Source organism: Homo sapiens, chromosome 2, assembly GCF_000001405.40.
Source record: "Homo sapiens chromosome 2, GRCh38.p14 Primary Assembly".
In the NCBI taxonomy this organism is placed as follows: Eukaryota; Metazoa; Chordata; class Mammalia; order Primates; family Hominidae; genus Homo; species Homo sapiens.
In genome coordinates, this window is record NC_000002.12 from 129,859,665 (window position 1) to 129,877,740 (window position 18,076).

Here is an 18,076-nt window from a genome sequence, read left to right on the forward strand (position 1 = left end):
GGGACACTTTTGAGAGTGAATGGGGGCCCTATTATGATGCTATAACAACAGGCAAAACTGGATGTGGTCTGCCACCTGGGGCATGTGGTCAACCTGGACAGAGAGGACATGAGCAGTGCCACCATCAACCAGATGTGCCCCAGTGGAAAGACATCTGGCTTCTTGCAGAGTGGCATATATTTTCTTGAAGAACAATAGTTTCCAAACACAGGACTATGGTTTTTGTGTCTTCAAATACCTGCCGTATTATGACTAGTTTATGCCATTAAGCTGATGTAAGATGAACAGAAAAGGGTAGTAAAAAGACAGGTTGCAAAGTTTAAACTTTCAGTGTCCTTCATCCAAGGAAGTCCTTTAAATGTGGATTAAGTTATCACTTCGGCAGAATTTAAGTATGTTTTTCAGATTTAGTTACAATTTAGGGCAGAGTTATAAGTACATTTTTAGAAATAATGACAAATCATTCTCAAAATAGATGGTTTAGGCCATGCAGAACAGTCATTTTAATAAAATTTAACCCAAGCATCAAAAATGGGCTAATCTATATTGTTCCATTTCTTTCCATCATTCTTTTATCTGGCTCCCTACAGGGAGCTAATTTAATTTGAAAAGATGGGAGATATTGGCTCCAATGTGTGTTCCCAGGGACATCAGAGCAGAATGAGATCACTCAGAAGGAAACTTCTCTCTCATATCTGTAAATGGTGAGGTCTACAAAGTCTTCTTCTTGAGGAAGCTCTTATAAACCACAGCAGTCTTCAAAATCTGATTTTCATCAAAAACCCTTGGTCAGGATCTAGTTGTATTGTGGGGGAAAAAATCCTGAGCCTGGTGTTTTGTCAGTGTCCTGAGCCAGACACAGTGGCCACAGGTCCCTGCCAAGGGAGAAATCACGAGGTGCGACGAACACCTTGCAAATGTCTGTAGACATCCCACTATTTATTACTGGGAAGAAAATCTCATTTGATACAAGTTGGGAATTTGGACTCTGACCTGAGAAAGGTAGGTTCTCTGATTCAGTAGATAGAAAAAAAAATAGACGCTCTGTCTGGACAGGAGTACAAGCTGGAGGAAAACCCAGCTTGTAGCAGTCATGACACCTGACCTGTGTGAAAACCAGTCCCTTCATGCATTTGATTTCAATTGTCACAGCAGCGCTGTGGTGGAACTGGCAAACTCCCACCAAACCCCTTCCCTTGCTCTGGGCACACAGTATGGAACACACTTCCCGGCAGCCTTTGCAGCCCTGTGACTGCTCCAGGGCTACGCTCCAGCCATGTGACTACGCTCCAGTCGTGGACTGGGAATGAAGTTGACGCATGCTGAGTGAGCTCAGGCAGGTCTTCTACTCTCTCTCTCTTCCACTGTCTGCAGCCACATGTCAATGCCAAGGGTATCCAGGACCGGACCTTGGGGATGGCAGGGACTCTGTCAGCCTGGGTCTGTGAGAAGTGCAGAGAGCACCCTCCACTTCTCACCTCTATGGACTGGGCTTCCCTGAGTAAGGAATTAAATTCTAAGGTGTTAAGTCATGCCACCGAGAAGCTGAGGTTGATCTACTATAGCAGCTAGCTTTATCTTAGCTGATAAAAACAGCACGTGGTTAGGTGGCACTGGGCTGGTGGAGGGAGGGGATGCAAACATGCGTGGCCTGCCTTGAACCTAGGATGCCCCAGGCCTCCTGCCTGCACCTACCATATAGGGGCACGGCCATCCTACTGGAGAGCTATCTGACTCCATTTCACCACCAAGGAAAACATGGCTGAGAGGCCAAGTAATTTGCCTATGATTAAGCAGCTGGCAAGGGTTACAAGCAGGATTTGAATCTGGGTCCACCCAGATCCCAAACTGAATTATCTTATTAAAACAGAGCCCTGGCTGCCCTGGCCCCACACGCAGTGCTACACTCATGTGGCGGCCACATCCTGGTGCTTCTCACCCTCAGTTCAAGAATGAGCAAGATGGAAGTCGTGACCCCAGCAGTTTGTTGGGGTGCTCCTACCTGCTCCCTCCCATCCTGAATCAGGATGTCCTCCCCCAGGATGACTGCACCCTCCCCAGTGAGTAGCAGCTGCTGCAGAGGACCACTCACCCCTCAGACCCACCACACAGCGGCTCAGCCCGCCCCCTACCCCAATGCAGTCTCTGCATCTCCACACCGCCATCCTGCCCTCCCTGCAGCCACTGGCGGGAGCCCCAGGGCAGCGCCCCTGACAGTTGGTATGTCTGCACCAGCCCAGCGTTTCCAGCTTCCCACCAGGGTAGCTGGCTCCCCTGCTGGCAGCCCTGCCTGCTCTCCCTGCTCCTCTCCTTCACCTCCCAGGTAAGTGACTTGTGCTGGCCCTGGGCCTGATGGGCACCAAGCCTGACCTATCTCCCCCCATCCAGGTTCACCTGTTGACATCCCAGCTGCTCAGATCTGTTCAACTTAGTTCAAGAAACATTCCTGAGCCCCTGCTGGTGGCCAGCCCTGGAAACACAGAAGTGGCTCAGAGGGGTCTGTGGCTGCGAACAGCCCAGGGCTAATGGGAGAGGCAGGCCCAGAGAGAAAAGATTCTGACTTAAGGCAGTGAGTGTAGGAATCGTTGTTTTCTCTTAAACTCACCGAGCTCCTGATCTGCGCCACGGTCACACAGGGTCTCCACACACCAGGCAGGAAAACGAAGAAACACACCCTGCCCTCCAGGGCTATGATTTCACTGGGGGACAGCCAGCCACACAACATGTCAGATGGGGTCACTGCTGCAGGACATGCGGGAAATTCAGGAGGAGTCCAGGTGACTACCAGGATTGAGGCCTGAGCAAGCGGAAAGATATAGGCAGCAAGATGCCTTCATATCTGAGTAAGACGCAAAGTGCACAGTCGGGAACTCAGAGGAGAAGAGCCGGGAAGGAAAGTCTCGATGAATTTAAATTTTTTTAAAGTTATAACAAGATTTAAAACACTTATTTTATTACTCAATTCAATTGCTCAGAATTCTCCATGAGCCAGTCTGTGAAACGGAACTTTTACATTTCTCTCTATCCCCGCTGCTACAGAAAGTGCAGGGGCTTCCCTCTTGGAGGTGGGTGGAATGCGCAGCCTCTTCCCTCAGAGGTTTGGAGGCATCACTTCCCTTCTTCCTTGCTTTACCTCTGCCATGGCAGTTTTAGTAACCACCTCTCTGGGTGGCTGCAGGACCATGCTAAGTCCTGATGGAAACATACTAGTTACGCAAGAAATGTTAGCTCCTCCCTCTTCTCTCTCTCTGCACTGTGGGAGACTCCCTAATGCGACTTCTAACAAAAATGTGAGCCTGGCTGAGCGCAGTAGCTCACACCTGTAATCCCAACACTTTGGGAGGCCGAGGCAGGCGGATCACCTGAGGTCAGGAGTTTGAGACCAGCCTGGCCAACATGGCGAAACCCCATCTCTACTAAAAAAATTGCAAAAATTAGCTGGGCGTGGTGGTGCATACCTATAATCCCAGCTAGTCGGGAGGCTGAGGTGGAAGGATCACTTGAACCCAGGAGGTGAGGAGGCGGAGGTTGCAGCGAGTCAAGATCGCGCCACTGCACTCCAGCCTGTGAGACAGAGTGAGACTCCGTCTCAAAAAAAAAAAAAGTGAACCTGAAAGACCCACTGTGTTTGAGGATGAGGCATCCTCCCTGCAATGCCCTGTCCCGTCACCTACTAGACTCAGGATCCACTGATGCACATGGTCTCAGACACCTAGCATATTAGGCTGTGTGTGCTCTCCCATGGGTGGGTGGGGTGCCCCAATCTGGCCCACTGGCTGTGTGCGAGCTGGCTGTGACCGCCTGAGTACCAGTCTGAATGTGTGCTCCCAGGTGTCCCCTCCTCAGGGCCCAGCCTCATTCTAGGCTTATTGAGAATGAGGGCAAGACAGTTCCAGCCCCTGAGGACATCAGGATTGAATAGGACAAGTACACGGAGGACACTCACAGAGACCCCCAGGCTGAGTGAGTGGTGTTCCAGGCCACTCCCTCTTCCTGACCCAATCACCTCCTCCCTGCTTGCTGATGGGACACTGAAGCAGATTGAGAGAGGCCCTTCCTGAGGCTGTGTTGGCACAGGAGCACTCTGCCCCACACAAACACTCACAGCCCCCAGATGTGTCATCAAGGACTGCATTCAGCTGCAAGCAAAAGAAAACCCAACTGACAGTGGTCTCCACATATCCGGGAGAGGGTATCTTAAATGCAGCAAATGCCAAAGGAGGCAGTCCCAGGAGGGTGTTCACCCTGGTTTTACTCCCCCATTCTTTGGCCACAGATGGCTGATACCCTGGCCTCTTGTTTGTCTACCGAGAGAAGGAAGCAAAGAAGGAACATGCCTAGGCCACGAAAGCAAAAGCTTTGCCCAAAACCATCAGATGGTAACTCATCACCAGACTGTGTCACCTGGCAATGTGCAGATGGACCAGAGGCTGAGGAAGGGAGGTTTCTGTCTGGGCACGTTAACACCCAAACAAAATCAGGATTCCATTCTTGAGGAAGAAGGGAGATGGATGTTAGAAGGACAACTAGCCAAGCTAGGAGTTTAAAGGTTTTATGTTATACCAGATGGGTCTGAGAGGGACTGGGAAAATATTGGAGTCTACCCAAAACACCCAGAGAGACCATTAAAGGGGCAGAGGGAAGGTTGTAGATCCGATGTGGGGCCTGCTTGCCCAACACAGTAAGACCGGGTATCCACATGGGTTCTGCCGTGGCAGAAAGGAAGGCATTTATTTGCAAGGCACAAAGCAGGACGACCAGCAGCGAATGTTTAAATTCTGACTTCCCCAATGGCTTGCCCAAAAGGTTTCTAAAGGCAAGGGTAAATCTCACGAAAGCAAAGGTGATAGGCAAAATCTAAGTCAGTACATGGGAGTTACACATTGGTTTTGGCCCAAAAAGACGGGATATCTTAAAACAACGGGCTTACATGTCACAGGTAAATTCAAAGATTTTCTGATTTATAATTAGTTAATGAAAAAGAAGCTTTGTTTACAAATTTGAGGTCATCAGACAAGAATGTTAGCTCTGGCTGGTGGGTGTGACTCCCTCCAGGCCCTTCAAGAAGAAATTTAGAACAAATAATTCAGGTCTAGAATTCAGTCTTCAGGTCCCCCTTCCCAGAGGCCTATGTGCCACAGATCTGTTTGATGGGGGTCCAGATTTCTGAAAAACAACTCTGGGACATATGTTAAGATGGTATCTTTAGTTTCTATAGGGAACCAGGCATCTGACTCTAACTTCCCTGGCGGTTGTTTTAGACTACTCTACTACTATCTTTTTACTCATCAAGTTGCTCATTTACTTCTCAGGGCTAGCTGGGTACCTGGAATTTCCCTTAAAGGAACTCAAGATTTTCCTTTATTTCCATGCTTGGGGGGCCCTAAAATGGGGTCCCTGCTCTGTCCCAGGAAAATGAAAAAATGTGTGGCTTGCTTTTATCCTACCAGGTATAGTCAGTACAACAAAATGGTTAAATAATATTCACTTAGAAACATTTTTCTGGAATCCAGTGAAGATCATCAGGCCGAAAAAATCCCCAAACCAAAAGATATGCCTGAATAGAAGCATGTGGAAACTGCCCCATTTATAGCCCTCGAATTCATTCTTCAATTTTAAGTGTTTTACTTTCACAGCCTTCAAAAGCCACGTTCCCATTTAGAGAAGAAACTCTCTTAAAGGGAGTATTTTTTTTGCCCAAGATCTCTCTCCTGATAAAGTGCCCCAGGGAGATCTTATGCCACTTTTCATCTTTCACAAGAGGTCAAGAAACTCCCAGGAAGAGCTGGCTCTCAACCATGGGCCCACGCTTTCGGTATGTGCAGCCCCCACACGTGTGAACTTGCCTGCTCCCCTGCACCAGGGGTCTCCCCTCCAGAAACAGAAGGGAGGTTTCCCCATCAACCCTGCTTTTAAAAAAAAAGGTGGGGGGCGGGGAATCACTTAGTTGGACCTGACTTTCTTTTCTTTCTTTTTTTTTTTTTTTTGACATGGAGTTTCACTCGTCACCCAGGCTGGAGTGTAATGACAGGATCTCAGCGCACTGCAACCTCTGCCTCCCAGGTTCAAGTGATTCTCCTGTCCCAGCTGCCCAAGTAGCTGGGATTACAGGCACCTGTCACCATGCCCAGCTAATTTTTATATATATTTTTTTTTAGTAGAGATGGGGTTTCACCATGTTGGCCAGGCTGGTCTCGAACTCTTGACCTCAGATGATCCGCCCATCTCGGCCTCCCAAAGTGCTGGGATTACAGGCATGAGCCACCGTGCCCAGCCCCCAGACCTGACTTTCTAAATAAATCATTCCTGTTAGCAGGCCTCAGAACCACGCCATGCACCCAGTCACCCATCTGTTCAAAGTGAAGTGCAAGAGTCCTGAGCACGGCGTCAATGCTCCGCACCTCGAAGCGTCATTCCTAACCCACACAGCCAGGAAAATGAAAATGAGGCTTCTTTCCCCATTGTACCATGAGACGGCTGAAGCTAAGGTCGGTTACCTCATCCAAGGTCATCCAGACAAGCGAAGGGAGGCAACGGTCCACATTCCTTCCACTGCCCCACACACTTCCCTACACATCACGTATGATTTCCTGGGGGGAAACAAAGAAAAATAAAAGAAAATATTGCATCTATCTTATGCTAATAAATGCCCAGTATACCACTGCATCTCCTCCTCTTCATGAATACCCAGTTCCCAATAGTAGCCCCTATTACAGCAGCTCCTAGGTTCTTGTGTCTGGTGAAGCTAGCAAAAATCTTACACACTTAAAAGATGCAGAAGCACAATCCCAAAATTTTCACTGAGAGAAAAATTGAATTTTTAGAGCCAGGTTAGTTTTTTGTTCATTTGCGTTTTGAGACATAGTCTCTACTCCACCCAGGCTAGAGTATGGTGACACAATCTCAGCTAACTGCAACCTCCGCCTCCTGGGCTCAAGCGATCCTCCCACCTAAGCCTTCCAAGCTATCCTCCCACCTAAGCCTTCCAAGCAACTACAGCTATGCACTATCACACCTGGCTAATTTTTTCTTTCTTCTTTTTTGTTTTTTTGTTTTTTTGTAGAGATGGGGCCTACAGGTCATAGGTAGATTAAAAGATTTTCTGATTTGCAATTAGTTAATGAAAAGAAGCTTTGTTTATAAATTTAGGGTCCATCAGGAAAGAATGTTAGCTCTGGCTCACATGTGTGACTCCCTCCAGGCCCTTCAAGAAGAAATTTAGAACAAAGGATGGTAGTCCAGAATTCAGTCTTCAGTTCCCCCTTATCAGAGGTCTATGTGCCACAGATCAGTTCGGTGGGGGTCTGGGTTTCTGAAAAACAACTCAGGAACGTATGTCAAGATGTTAAGTTCAGTTTCTATAGGGGAACCAAGTATCTGACTCTAACTTCCACTTCCTTGGCCTGTTGTTTTAGACTACTATTACCTTCTTGCTTATCAAGCTGCTCATTTACTTCTCAGGGCTAGCTGGGTGCTAGCTTAGGCTAGTCTTGAACTCCTGAGCTCAGGTGATCCACCTGCCTCAGCTTCCCGAAGTGCTGGGATTCCAGGTGTGAGCCACTGCACCCGGCCTAGCCAGGTTTTTTGTTTTTGGGTTTTTGTTTTTGTTTTTTTTTTTTGAGATGGAGTCTCACTCTGTTGCCCAGGCTAGAGTGCAGTGGCATGATCTCTGCTCACTGCAACCTCCACCTCCCGGGTTCAAGCAATTCTCCTGCCTTAGCCTCCCAAGTAGCTGGGACTACAGGCACCCACCACAACGCCCGGCTAATTTTTGTATTTTTAGTAGAGACAGGGCTTTACCATGTTGGCCAGGCTGGTCTTGAACCCCTGACCTCAGGGGATCTGCTCACCTTGGCCTCCCAAAGTGCTGGGATTACAGGCGTGAGCCACCACACCTGCCCACCAGGTTAGTTTTTAATTAATCAGCCCATAATAGAAGAAGGAAAGAACATACCTAAGACAGATTGGCATATTAGTCATTCAGTTCCAATGCTGATACACACATGGCTACACAACCATACACATACATGTGCACACACATCTGACACACACTCACCTACAAACACACACACACATACACATGAGCACATATCTCTAAGGCAATTCATATATTCTAAAATACTCAGAGTAATTGATCATAAAGTGCTATCTATTTATCCATCAACTGTAATCACCATTGTCGTGTCTAAAACCCCCACTGTTTCACCTAAAATGTTAAATACTGCCTTTTGTTTTCTTGCTGTCTCTTTCACCAAGTAAGTTTAATTCCCGCTGGCAAAGGAAAAAGTTACACACACATGCATGCACGCACACACACACACATACACATAGAATTTCTCCAAGAATATTGTTAGGATTATCTCACCTGAGAAGGGAGAGTGAGAATCATGAGAAAGCTGAAAATGTTAAGATTGGATTTATTGTTTTGCGGAAAGGGAGTAGCTGAAACTCCCTAGTAATGAGCAGAAGCTTTGTTTTCGGTTCTGTGATATTAACCTTTATTTCACTAAGATAAAGCTGACAAAATTAGAACCCCTCACTTGCATTACAACTACACGGGGGTGGTGGGTCCATGAGGAGCAGACCCCCTACGTGACCACAGGAGCAGCAGCAGGACAGAGGACCCTCCAGGGTCGCCAACAGGGACATCTTGGCCCAGACATCATGGACAGGGTCCCCCTTGGCTCACCCGACCAGGCAGGTAAGACTGTGGGGCCAGCAAAGCTCGTCACCTCACTCAGGGACAAAGACATCCTGCCCAAGCATGGGAGTTGGAGGTGAGGATGAGTGCCAGGTGCCTTCTTTGCCCCCTGTACCCCTAACAAATAACTTTCTAATGCAAAGACCCAGCCTTAGAGGTGCTCGTCGTGATCAGCACGTGGGGGAGTGTGGGAAGGACTGGGTTAGGACACACACAGACACACACCTAAGGCAACACTGAAAGAGCTCTCCTCCCCACCCCTGAGGCCACAACTGGGGTTCTTGCTGACAGGGGCACCCACAGCATCTAAAAGGAAACCATCGCTGCCTTCTGCTCAGCAAAGATGACCCCATCCTCCCTCCAGAAGGAGAGCGGTTTCTGGAGAGGCCCTCCCAGGACCCTGCCCTTGCTGCACTCAGGTCCCTGGTGTTTGGATTTCTGCTTCCAAATTGTTTAAGCACAGGGCCTCTCATCTTTTCCCCCAAAGTGAAAGAAACCTCAGTGGATGCTTGGAAACCACATCAGGAGGCACAGGCGATTACATGTCCCAGAGCCAACACTTGTACATTCCCAAGCAGAGACCAGCTGCTAGAATGGCTTCTAAAGAGCCTGGTATCCCTGGAGCAACAGAATCCAGTGGCACATAAAAGTAAACCAAAGGCTAGTGTTGGAGGAAGCACACCCACCACTAACAAAGGATGCACAGTGGATCCTTTAAGACGCTTAAAGGACTCTTGGCCTCCAAACCTCACTTCCACAAAAGCTTATTTTTCTTCTCACAAGGTTTGTGTGTCCCTCCCCCAGCGTTTCTAAGACCTGGCTGATGTTTACAGTTCACTGTCATGTGTCTCTCACTTTCATCTGTATGAATTTCCCCAGTGTTAAAGAATCCATTGCGCCCCCCAACCAACTCAAGCACAGAGGTCGTTCCTTCTGGAAAGAGTCCCAATCCCAGCCTTGAGGATGAGGCTGGCATCCTCCCGCTGGCCGGGTCTTCTCCGCGAATTGGGATCTGCCTCCTGGGAGGATGATACCCGTGGCTGCTGCTCTGCGTGGCTCACCTTGGCCAGGAGCTAGATTCCTGCTGGTGGGAAATGCATAGCCTACTTGCTGCACCCAAGCGCCTGGAGCTTTCATTCTGCAGCAGTTTCTTCAGGAAAAAGGTCATCCCTAAAGGTCAAAGGATACCAAGTTTATAACTTGAGTTTATAATGTATTCAAATTTTTTTTTTTTTTTTTTTGAGATGGAGTCTCACTCTGTCACACAGGCTGGAGTGCAGTGGCGCAATCTCCGGTCACTGCAAGCTCTGCTTCCCACGTTCCTGCCATTCTCCTGCCTCAGCCTCCCGAGTAGCTGGGATTACAGGCACCCGTCACCATGCCCGCCTAATTTTTGTATTTTTAGTAAAGACAGGGTTTCACCTTGTTGGCCAGGCTAGTCTCAAACTCCTGACCTCAAGTGATCCCCCAACCTCAGACTCCCAAAGTGCTGGGATTACAGGCGTGAGCCACCATGCCTGGCCTTAAACTTTTTAATTATGAAAATGACACACATGGAAAAGTGCATAAAACATATATTTATAATTCACCCAATAATAGTAAAAGTCATGCCCAACCACACCGAGGTGAAGACCTAGAGCCTGCCAAAGCCAAGGTTCTCTCCCTGACCCCTGCCTCAACCCCCATGGTGCCCACCATCTTGACTTTTACCATAGTCAATTCCTTGCTGTGTTTCATTTGTTCACCTGCATATGCATCCCTACACAACGTACGGTATTCATAACATCTGTAAATTTTTTTTTCTTTTTTTTTTTCTCTGAGATGGAGTCTCCCTTTGTCGCCCAGGCTGGAGTACAGTGGCACGATCTCGGCTCACTACTGCCTCTGCCTCCTGGGTTCAAATGATTCTCCTGCCTCAGCTTCCCGAGTAGCTGGGACTACAGGCATGCACCAACATGCCCGGCTAATTTTTGTATTTTTAGTAGAGATGGGGTTTCACCATATTGGCCAGGATGATCTCGATCTCTTGACCTCATGATCCACCCACCTCGGCCTCCCAAAGTGCTGGGATTACAGGCGTGAGCTGCCGAATAAAATCCTAAGTCCCCTGCCAACTGAATGTACCCCCCTCTTGGGCAAAAGGACCCCAGAAAAACCTTAAAAACTGAGTTCTCAGCCATGATAGGATGGGAGGTCAGACATGCCTCATTATCCCCCCTCCCTTTTACTTGTAGTATACACACAACAACTGACCAGCATTCGTGTTAAAATAGAGGCCGTATGACTGACAGAACAGGCTCTGTGGCAATAAGATGCCACATTATAAACAGGACCCGAGGCCATGTCAGGCGAGGGTTAAGTCCCACACCCCTAAGCTTTAAAGAATAAACTATTTTCTAACTGTCATAAGGTTCTTCTTTTTCTCTAGCAGCAAAACAAGCACTGGCCATGAGATAAACAATGTTAAAGCAATTTGTAGCTCACCATTAGACAATGACTAACTAAGCCCGCTGTTTCATCAGCCATAACTACAGCTTTGATTGGACAAGAAATGGATTTCAATAACTTTCTCCAGATAAGAAAACCAACCACCACAGACTGGTTCTGGCCAGTTTACAGAGGCTGCCTTCAGGTCCTGAAAAGATCTTTTCATGTATAGGGCTTAATTTTAATGGATTTAAATGTTAAGTCTCCTCCCCAGGGTGGATATAGGTCATAGGTTACATACATGTGTGTTCAATACGCATGCATCAGGACCACCTTCATGAATATTCATAGCTCCTCCTGTAAGCTGTTGAATATGTATGTTCAGCCAAACTGTTCAGCACAAAGCTCAGCCCCTCCTCTTTGAAAATGCCTGTCTGTGGGCTTTGCCAGAGGCTACACTTCCCAGCCTGAGGAATGGCCACCTTGTAGACTCTAACCCTTATAAGAAATAAAGTCTCCTCTCAACATTTATAAATTTGTGATTTTTTTTAGTTAACACATTTAAACTCTATTGAATATGAAGTATACAATCATCTTACATACAGATAATGAAAAATGATGCAGTTAAATGAAAAAACACTTTCTTGATTAGAATTTTCATTTTATGCTTATTAAAAAGAAAATTTATGATGTGTGCGCACATCGATTTTATTATATATTATGCTCGTGCATGCATTAAAAAAGAAAAATTAAGCAAAATATTCTGGTTCAAGTAGTCTGAAAATCTCTTCCTAATTGGGATCCACATTCTCCACATCACTTTTGACCCAGATTGTCTGTGTCTGCATTTCCCTTGCTGTATCATTCTCTATGCAAAAAGAGTGCTTGCCATTGAGAATTTCTTACCATAGTGCAGCTCCACTCTTTCTGGGCTTTCTTACAGACCGCTGGCAGTCTTAGCATCATAATTACCACGAAAGTCAAGACCATTTGACTTCATTAGCCAATAGGTAACATCATCTTCAAACTTCCAGAGCCTCATCGGAGCTCATATAGAGGAGCTGCTGGTGCCACTGCTGAGTGTCTGGCTGAGTCCAGCTGCACAGCTGGCCTTTTTGGCAGTTTGAGCCGCTTAAGAATTTTTAATTTCTTTTCGTGTATGTGTGAGGCATCAGCCTGAGTTAGTAAGTTACAAGTGAAGTGATAAGTATTCTTTTTAATAAGCATAAAATGAAAATTTTAATCAAGAAAGTGTCAGTTTCATTGCATCATTTTTCCTTATTGGTACATAAGATAATGGCACACTTCACAATCAATAAGGTTTTAAATGTTAAGGATACAGTATGTTTTTTAGGGACGCATATGCAGTATTTAGGAGTGCACTGTGCTACAGATCGTGAAGGTGAAGATAGCAGGTTGGCAGGGCACGGTGGCTCACACCTGTAATCCCAGCACTTTGGGAGGCCAAGGCCGGCAGATCACGAGGTCAGGAGACTGAGACCATCCTGGCTAACATGGTGAAACCCTGTCTCCACTAAAAATACAAAAACTTAGCTGGGCATGGTGGTGGGCACCTGTAGTCCCAGCTACTCGGGAGGCTGAGGAAGGAGAATGGTGTGAACCTAGGAGGCGGAGCATGCAGTGAGCCGAGATCGCGCCACTGCACTCCAGCCTAGGCAACAGAGCAAGACTCCGTCTCACAAAAAAAAGATAGCAAGTGCCTTTGGAGGTGAGGCAGGGGTGGGAGAAACAGACCCCTGGGCTTCTGTCTAGGTCTTTACCCAGGTGTGGCTGGGTATTCACTTTCACTTACACCATGAGTGATGAGTCAGACATTCAGGCAGGGCACAGCTAGGCAGTTCTCTGGCTCCCAGTGGTATCATCTGAGGTGACTGAGCAGTAATCAGTTGATGGACGAACTGGAGGTTAGATGGGCTCAGGGCTCCCAGAAAGAATATCCTAGCAACAAGCAAGTCAAGAGATTTCACCTGAGTTTTTAACCTTGGTTTCTTCTAAAAGTTCTGTTGTTTTTTTTCAATACTACTATATAACTTTATACACTTTCCTATTCCCCACAAATATTTTCAAGCTTGTCTTGATAAAACATAGTAAGATTTGTTTTATATGCTATATCTGATTATTTCAACATTTAAGTCTTTGAGAATCCATTGTTAATTTTTTTGGGAGGTGGGGTGGTGTTGCTGATTTTCATTCATGGTATCTTACTTCTTTGTACTTGACCATCTTTGACTATGTGCAGTTATTGTACTTGGGAAGTTATTAAAAGAGTAATCTTTGAAGGCCTAGATGAAGGTATCATCCTTCAGAGAAAACTGGAAATACCTCTTAGGACACCATTTCATGTCCCCACAACTTCCACCTAACCCATAATATAATCACCTTCTGCTCTCCTCTCCCTGAAGTCTGGTTCTCTTGTGAGGCCATGTTAATGAGAGCCTTCTCCTTCATCTTGAACACCTTGGGGTCAACAGGTAGAGTTGGCTATTTCCTCACTTGTCAGTGCATAGCTACTGCCATTTTTTAAATTCCTCATTAAAAAAATACTTGTTCCATCTTTATTCACAGCATTCAGCTAAGTAACACCCTACACCTCAGAGATTTCATCTCTTGAGCTATATTGGTACAAGATTTTTGCACCTGGTTCACGACGTTCCTTTGCATCCAATTTCTGTCATCACTCAGAATGACATCAATATGTTTTATTACATCCACTTTAAATTCAACGTGACCATAGATGAGTCCTGCAAATCTGCACCCTCTCCTCCTGTATTTCCAGTAATAGTGAATGTGCGAATGTCTCAGCTACTCACCTAATCACCCAACCCAGAGGCCCAGACACTTTCCTAGACAACTCTGCCTTCCAGTGAGCACCAAGTGCTTCCTTAATATTTTTTCCAACTACATCTGTTCCTGTCCCCACTGCCCCTGCCTACATTCAGCCTCACTAATCCCCAGGCTTGGATGCTGATAAATGACTTGAGTGGCAACTACAAAACAGCTAATGAAGCTCCCCACATCCTCCCACCAGGGCCTCCACAGAGCTGGTATGAACTACAGAAAGGGGCAGTTACTTTCCCCATGACGCTGTCATTCCCATTCGTATTGCAAAGCCTCTATTTTTTAATTTGTCCCACAGCATGACAGACCCCAAACGCACATTTACTACTGGTATAGATACACATATTAAGACCAGTGGTGACTGTTACAGCTCACATAAAAGCTGAGTTCCATTGCTTGGGCTGACTTTATGTGTGGGGGGAATGCAAGCCTCTAGAATCCCATGAGAACTGACTTCTATATTGGGTGCTTTTCTGTCTCCTCCTGTGTCTCTCACATAAGACCCATCAATGAATGCTATTAAGTTAACATGGGAATAAGACTATATGATGAATCAGATGGAGGCCATGCATCTTCATTGAGGGCTGCGAGGTGGTTGTGCTGCTGTCCAGTCAGGATCTGGCAACAGAGTCACTGGGCTCAAAGTTCACACCTTCCTAGAATCCCACTAGGGTCAGCCAGTAACGCTTACAGAGCACTGACAAGTGCTGTGTCATAGGAACTTCAAAAAGCAGCAGCAACAGGCCAGGTGTGGTGGCTCACACCTGTAATCCCAGCACTTTGGGAGGCCAAGGTGGGTGGATCACTTGAGGTCAGGAGTTCAAGACCAGCCTGACCAACGTGGTGAAACCCTGTCTCTACTACAAATACAAAAATTAGCCGGGCATGATGGTGCACACCTGTAATCCTAGCTTGGGAGGCTAAGGCAGAAGAATCGCTTGAACCCGGGAGGTGGAGGTTGCAGTAAGCGCCATTGTACTCCAGCCTGGGCAACAGTTAGACTCTGTCTCAAAAAAAAAAACAAAAAAACACACACACAAAAAAACAAAAAAAAACACACAAAAAAAAACAAAAACAAAAAAAACAAAGCAGCAGCAACAGCACAAGGCCCAAACAATTACATCCCCGAGCCAAGGCCTGCACCTTCCCAAGCAGAGACCCAATGTTGGAATGACTTCTAAACAGCCTGGCATCCCTGGAGCAACAGAATCCAGTGGTACATGAAAGCCAACCAAAGGCTAGTGTTTGAGGAAGCATACCCATCACTAACAGCACCCTTGCTCTCCTTACAGAAAAGGGAGAAGAGATGACCAGCTAGGAACTGACTCCAAGTACAGGCAGGAAAACAATGGCTACTTAAGGATCTGAAGGCTTTTTTAGCTTCTCCTAGCTATTGCAAAAATGCACCTAGCGATGCTTCATGTAGCACCACCATGAGTGGCTTGCCTCTCAGAAGAGACAGGGACCCGTTGCCTGCGATGCACACCAACCTCAAAAGGGTGGAGCTATTTCTTCGCAGTGACAGAGCTGTTGCTACATGGAGCTATTGCTTCATTTGTAAAAGAGGTGGCTTTGGGGACAGAACTATTTCCCATCCATCAGCCAATAACAAATATTCCAAATACTTGACCTCGGTCTAACGATGTTGGAAATTATCTAAAGGAGCTTTATGCCCTTTAGAAGCTAGAATTTTCGTAAAGCTAATATATCTTGTTTTTGTTTTGGGGACAGGGTCTCACTCTGTCACCCATACTAGAGTGCAGTGGTGCGAGCTCGGCTCACTGTAACCTCCACCTCCCAGGCTCAAGTGATCCTCCCACCTCAGCCTCTCAAGTAACTGGGACTACAGGCACCCACCACCAGGCCTGGCTCATTTTTATAAGTTTTTGTAGAGATAGGGTTTCACCATGTTGCCCAAGCTGGTCTCGAACTCTAAGCTCAAGCAATCTGCCCACCTCAGCCTCCCAAAGTGCTGGTTTTGCAGGCATGAGTCACCATGTCTGGCCTAATATATCTTGTTAGCACATGAGGTGTTACCTATCAATAAATCATCCATATATATCCATATATGGACTCCTGAGGTGGGGGAAGTTTCTTTAAGTTCTTTTGTAAATGCCTAGAGATTATAGTTGGCAAATCTCTGAATCCCTGGGGGATGCATTGCCACCAATATGGAAAGCCTTCATAGGTAAACACAAAGAGATACCTTGGTTCCTCTGCTGAAGGTATAGAAAAGAAAGCTCAACATAAGTCTATTACTAAAATTAGTTAGGTCACACAATAGGAGGCTAAGAGGTTGAGTACTACAACTGTCAGACATACCAAAAATATATTTCTATCAGATTTTGTAAAAATATGTAAGCAAGCTAAACTTCTTTGTCAGTTTCCCTTCCTTTTTCATAGGTAATATAGGAAGACTATTACAAGGCAAATGTCCTTTCTTTATGATTCTCTTTCTAGTTCTCTAATTACAGGTTCAATTCCCCGTATTTGAGCTAGGGAGAGGATATAGCTTTACACATGACCATAATTTTTCTTTGGTGTAAGCTACGACAGTAGGGTCAATCAAATGATAGACTTAATGAGTCAATGTGTTTAAGAAAGACTTCAGCAAACAAGGCCTCTTGTCTGACCGAAGATGGCTACACATCCTCCAATTTGCCCAGTGGAAAGGCTCACTCAAGGTGTCCCATCCTTGTCACCAAACTTGTGGGGGCAGAAAGGAAACCAACACCCAAAGGAACATGCCAATTCAAAAAATAGAGAATGATTAGATAATTCTATTATTTAGAAAAAACCTGAATGCATTCAGGTAGTCAGCAAGTGTCTACACAGCTATGGTAGATTTTTAGCTCTATTGTTATGGAATTAAAGCTACAGTTACTATCCCTCATTCCGTTTTTAGTAAACAGCCAGAAGCTATTCAATTTGCATCAGTAGTTACGTTGAGTTTACCCTGATGGCCTGATTTTTATAATTCTTTATCAGGCTTACCCTGATGTTCTGCTATTATCATTCGTTACCACTACCTCCTGTAACCGCCCAAAAGTGTCCCCACACACACGAGGGCATGTTCAGTTTCCCACACTCCACCTCAACAACTGGCACCAGAATCGGCCCAGTTGCTCAAGCCAAAATCTCAGGAGTCATCCTGGTTTTCTCTCTTGCCACCCTGTGGCCCCACATCCAATCCATCAGCAAAAAACAGCTGGGAGCTGGAAAGGCAAGACTCTCTTCCTGTGAGTCCTTCACACCGCCTGCACCTGTCTAAGCCACCATTCCACTCCCTTTCCCACCTACAGCCTGGTGATATCTCCCTTCTCCTCTGCCTTCCCTCTTTGCAGCTCAATCTTTCTTTCCCTAGGTTATCAATTGTATAATAAAGATTATAAAATCACTCTATCCCAATAAATATAGCTTCTATCAGTCTTAATGACTGAAGCACCGCAGAATTCTCGGTTTGGAAGGGGGTTTTGCTGCTTAAAAAGTTTCAAAATCACTGCCAGAGGGAACCAGCAGCCCTTTTGTTGATAGCAGAGCCAGCTCCTCTCGCACGTGAATAAACAACCATAAATGAGACACGGCACATTTGAGCAGTCTTTTAAAATCATTTAAGCTTTAAAAATTATTTAAGACACGTTTGTTTTAAAAAAGCAATTCAAATCAAGCATTTGCAACATACCTACGATACCTCTATGGAGACTTAGCATCTACAAGACCCAGTTTGACAACTGCCAGCGCCAGGGAATAAGTGAAGTTTCTCAGCCCAAGTCACACAAGGCCCTAGCCAACCCACCTCTGCCTGCTCCCTGGGGCTCTCCTCTACCCCAGCCCTCTCTCCCTAAAGCCAGCGAGAGGCTCCGCGATTGTCCCCCCCAAATCCTTTCCCCCTTTTCGGGAATAGCAAGCGAGTCCAAGAGATGAGGTCACGTGATGCCGTCCGACCAATCTGGTGTGAGCAGAGGCCCCCATTCTTCCGGGGAGAGGGGCGGGGGCGGGGCCGGGCCGGGAGCGGAAGGAGCAGGGGTGGACAGAACAGCCTGGGGAGGGGGCGGGGACAGGGCGAAGCAGGGAGGGGAGGGGGCGGGA

General features: G+C 46.5%; 1 long non-coding RNA gene across 1 annotated transcript, besides 1 other annotated feature; it reads right to left on the minus strand.

Moving 5' to 3' along the window:
* Window positions 1-548: 548 nt before the first annotated feature.
* On the minus strand, window positions 549-17,827 carry LINC02572 (long intergenic non-protein coding RNA 2572). The gene is made up of 6 exons (NR_149127.1): window positions 17,784-17,827; window positions 12,942-13,087; window positions 9,763-9,871; window positions 6,498-6,590; window positions 2,606-2,797; window positions 549-1,409 (listed from the first exon to the last, which is right to left on the minus strand). It is a non-coding gene; the product is annotated as a long intergenic non-protein coding RNA 2572 (long non-coding RNA).
* Window positions 17,772-18,066: an enhancer, noted in NCBI's record as "tiled region #12033; HepG2 Activating non-DNase unmatched - State 4:PromP, and K562 Activating DNase matched - State 4:PromP". NCBI's record gives its function as "activates a minimal TATA promoter and a strong SV40 promoter by Sharpr-MPRA in HepG2 and K562 cells {active_cell/tissue: HepG2 | K562}" and the evidence as "EXISTENCE:reporter gene assay evidence [ECO:0000049][PMID:27701403]".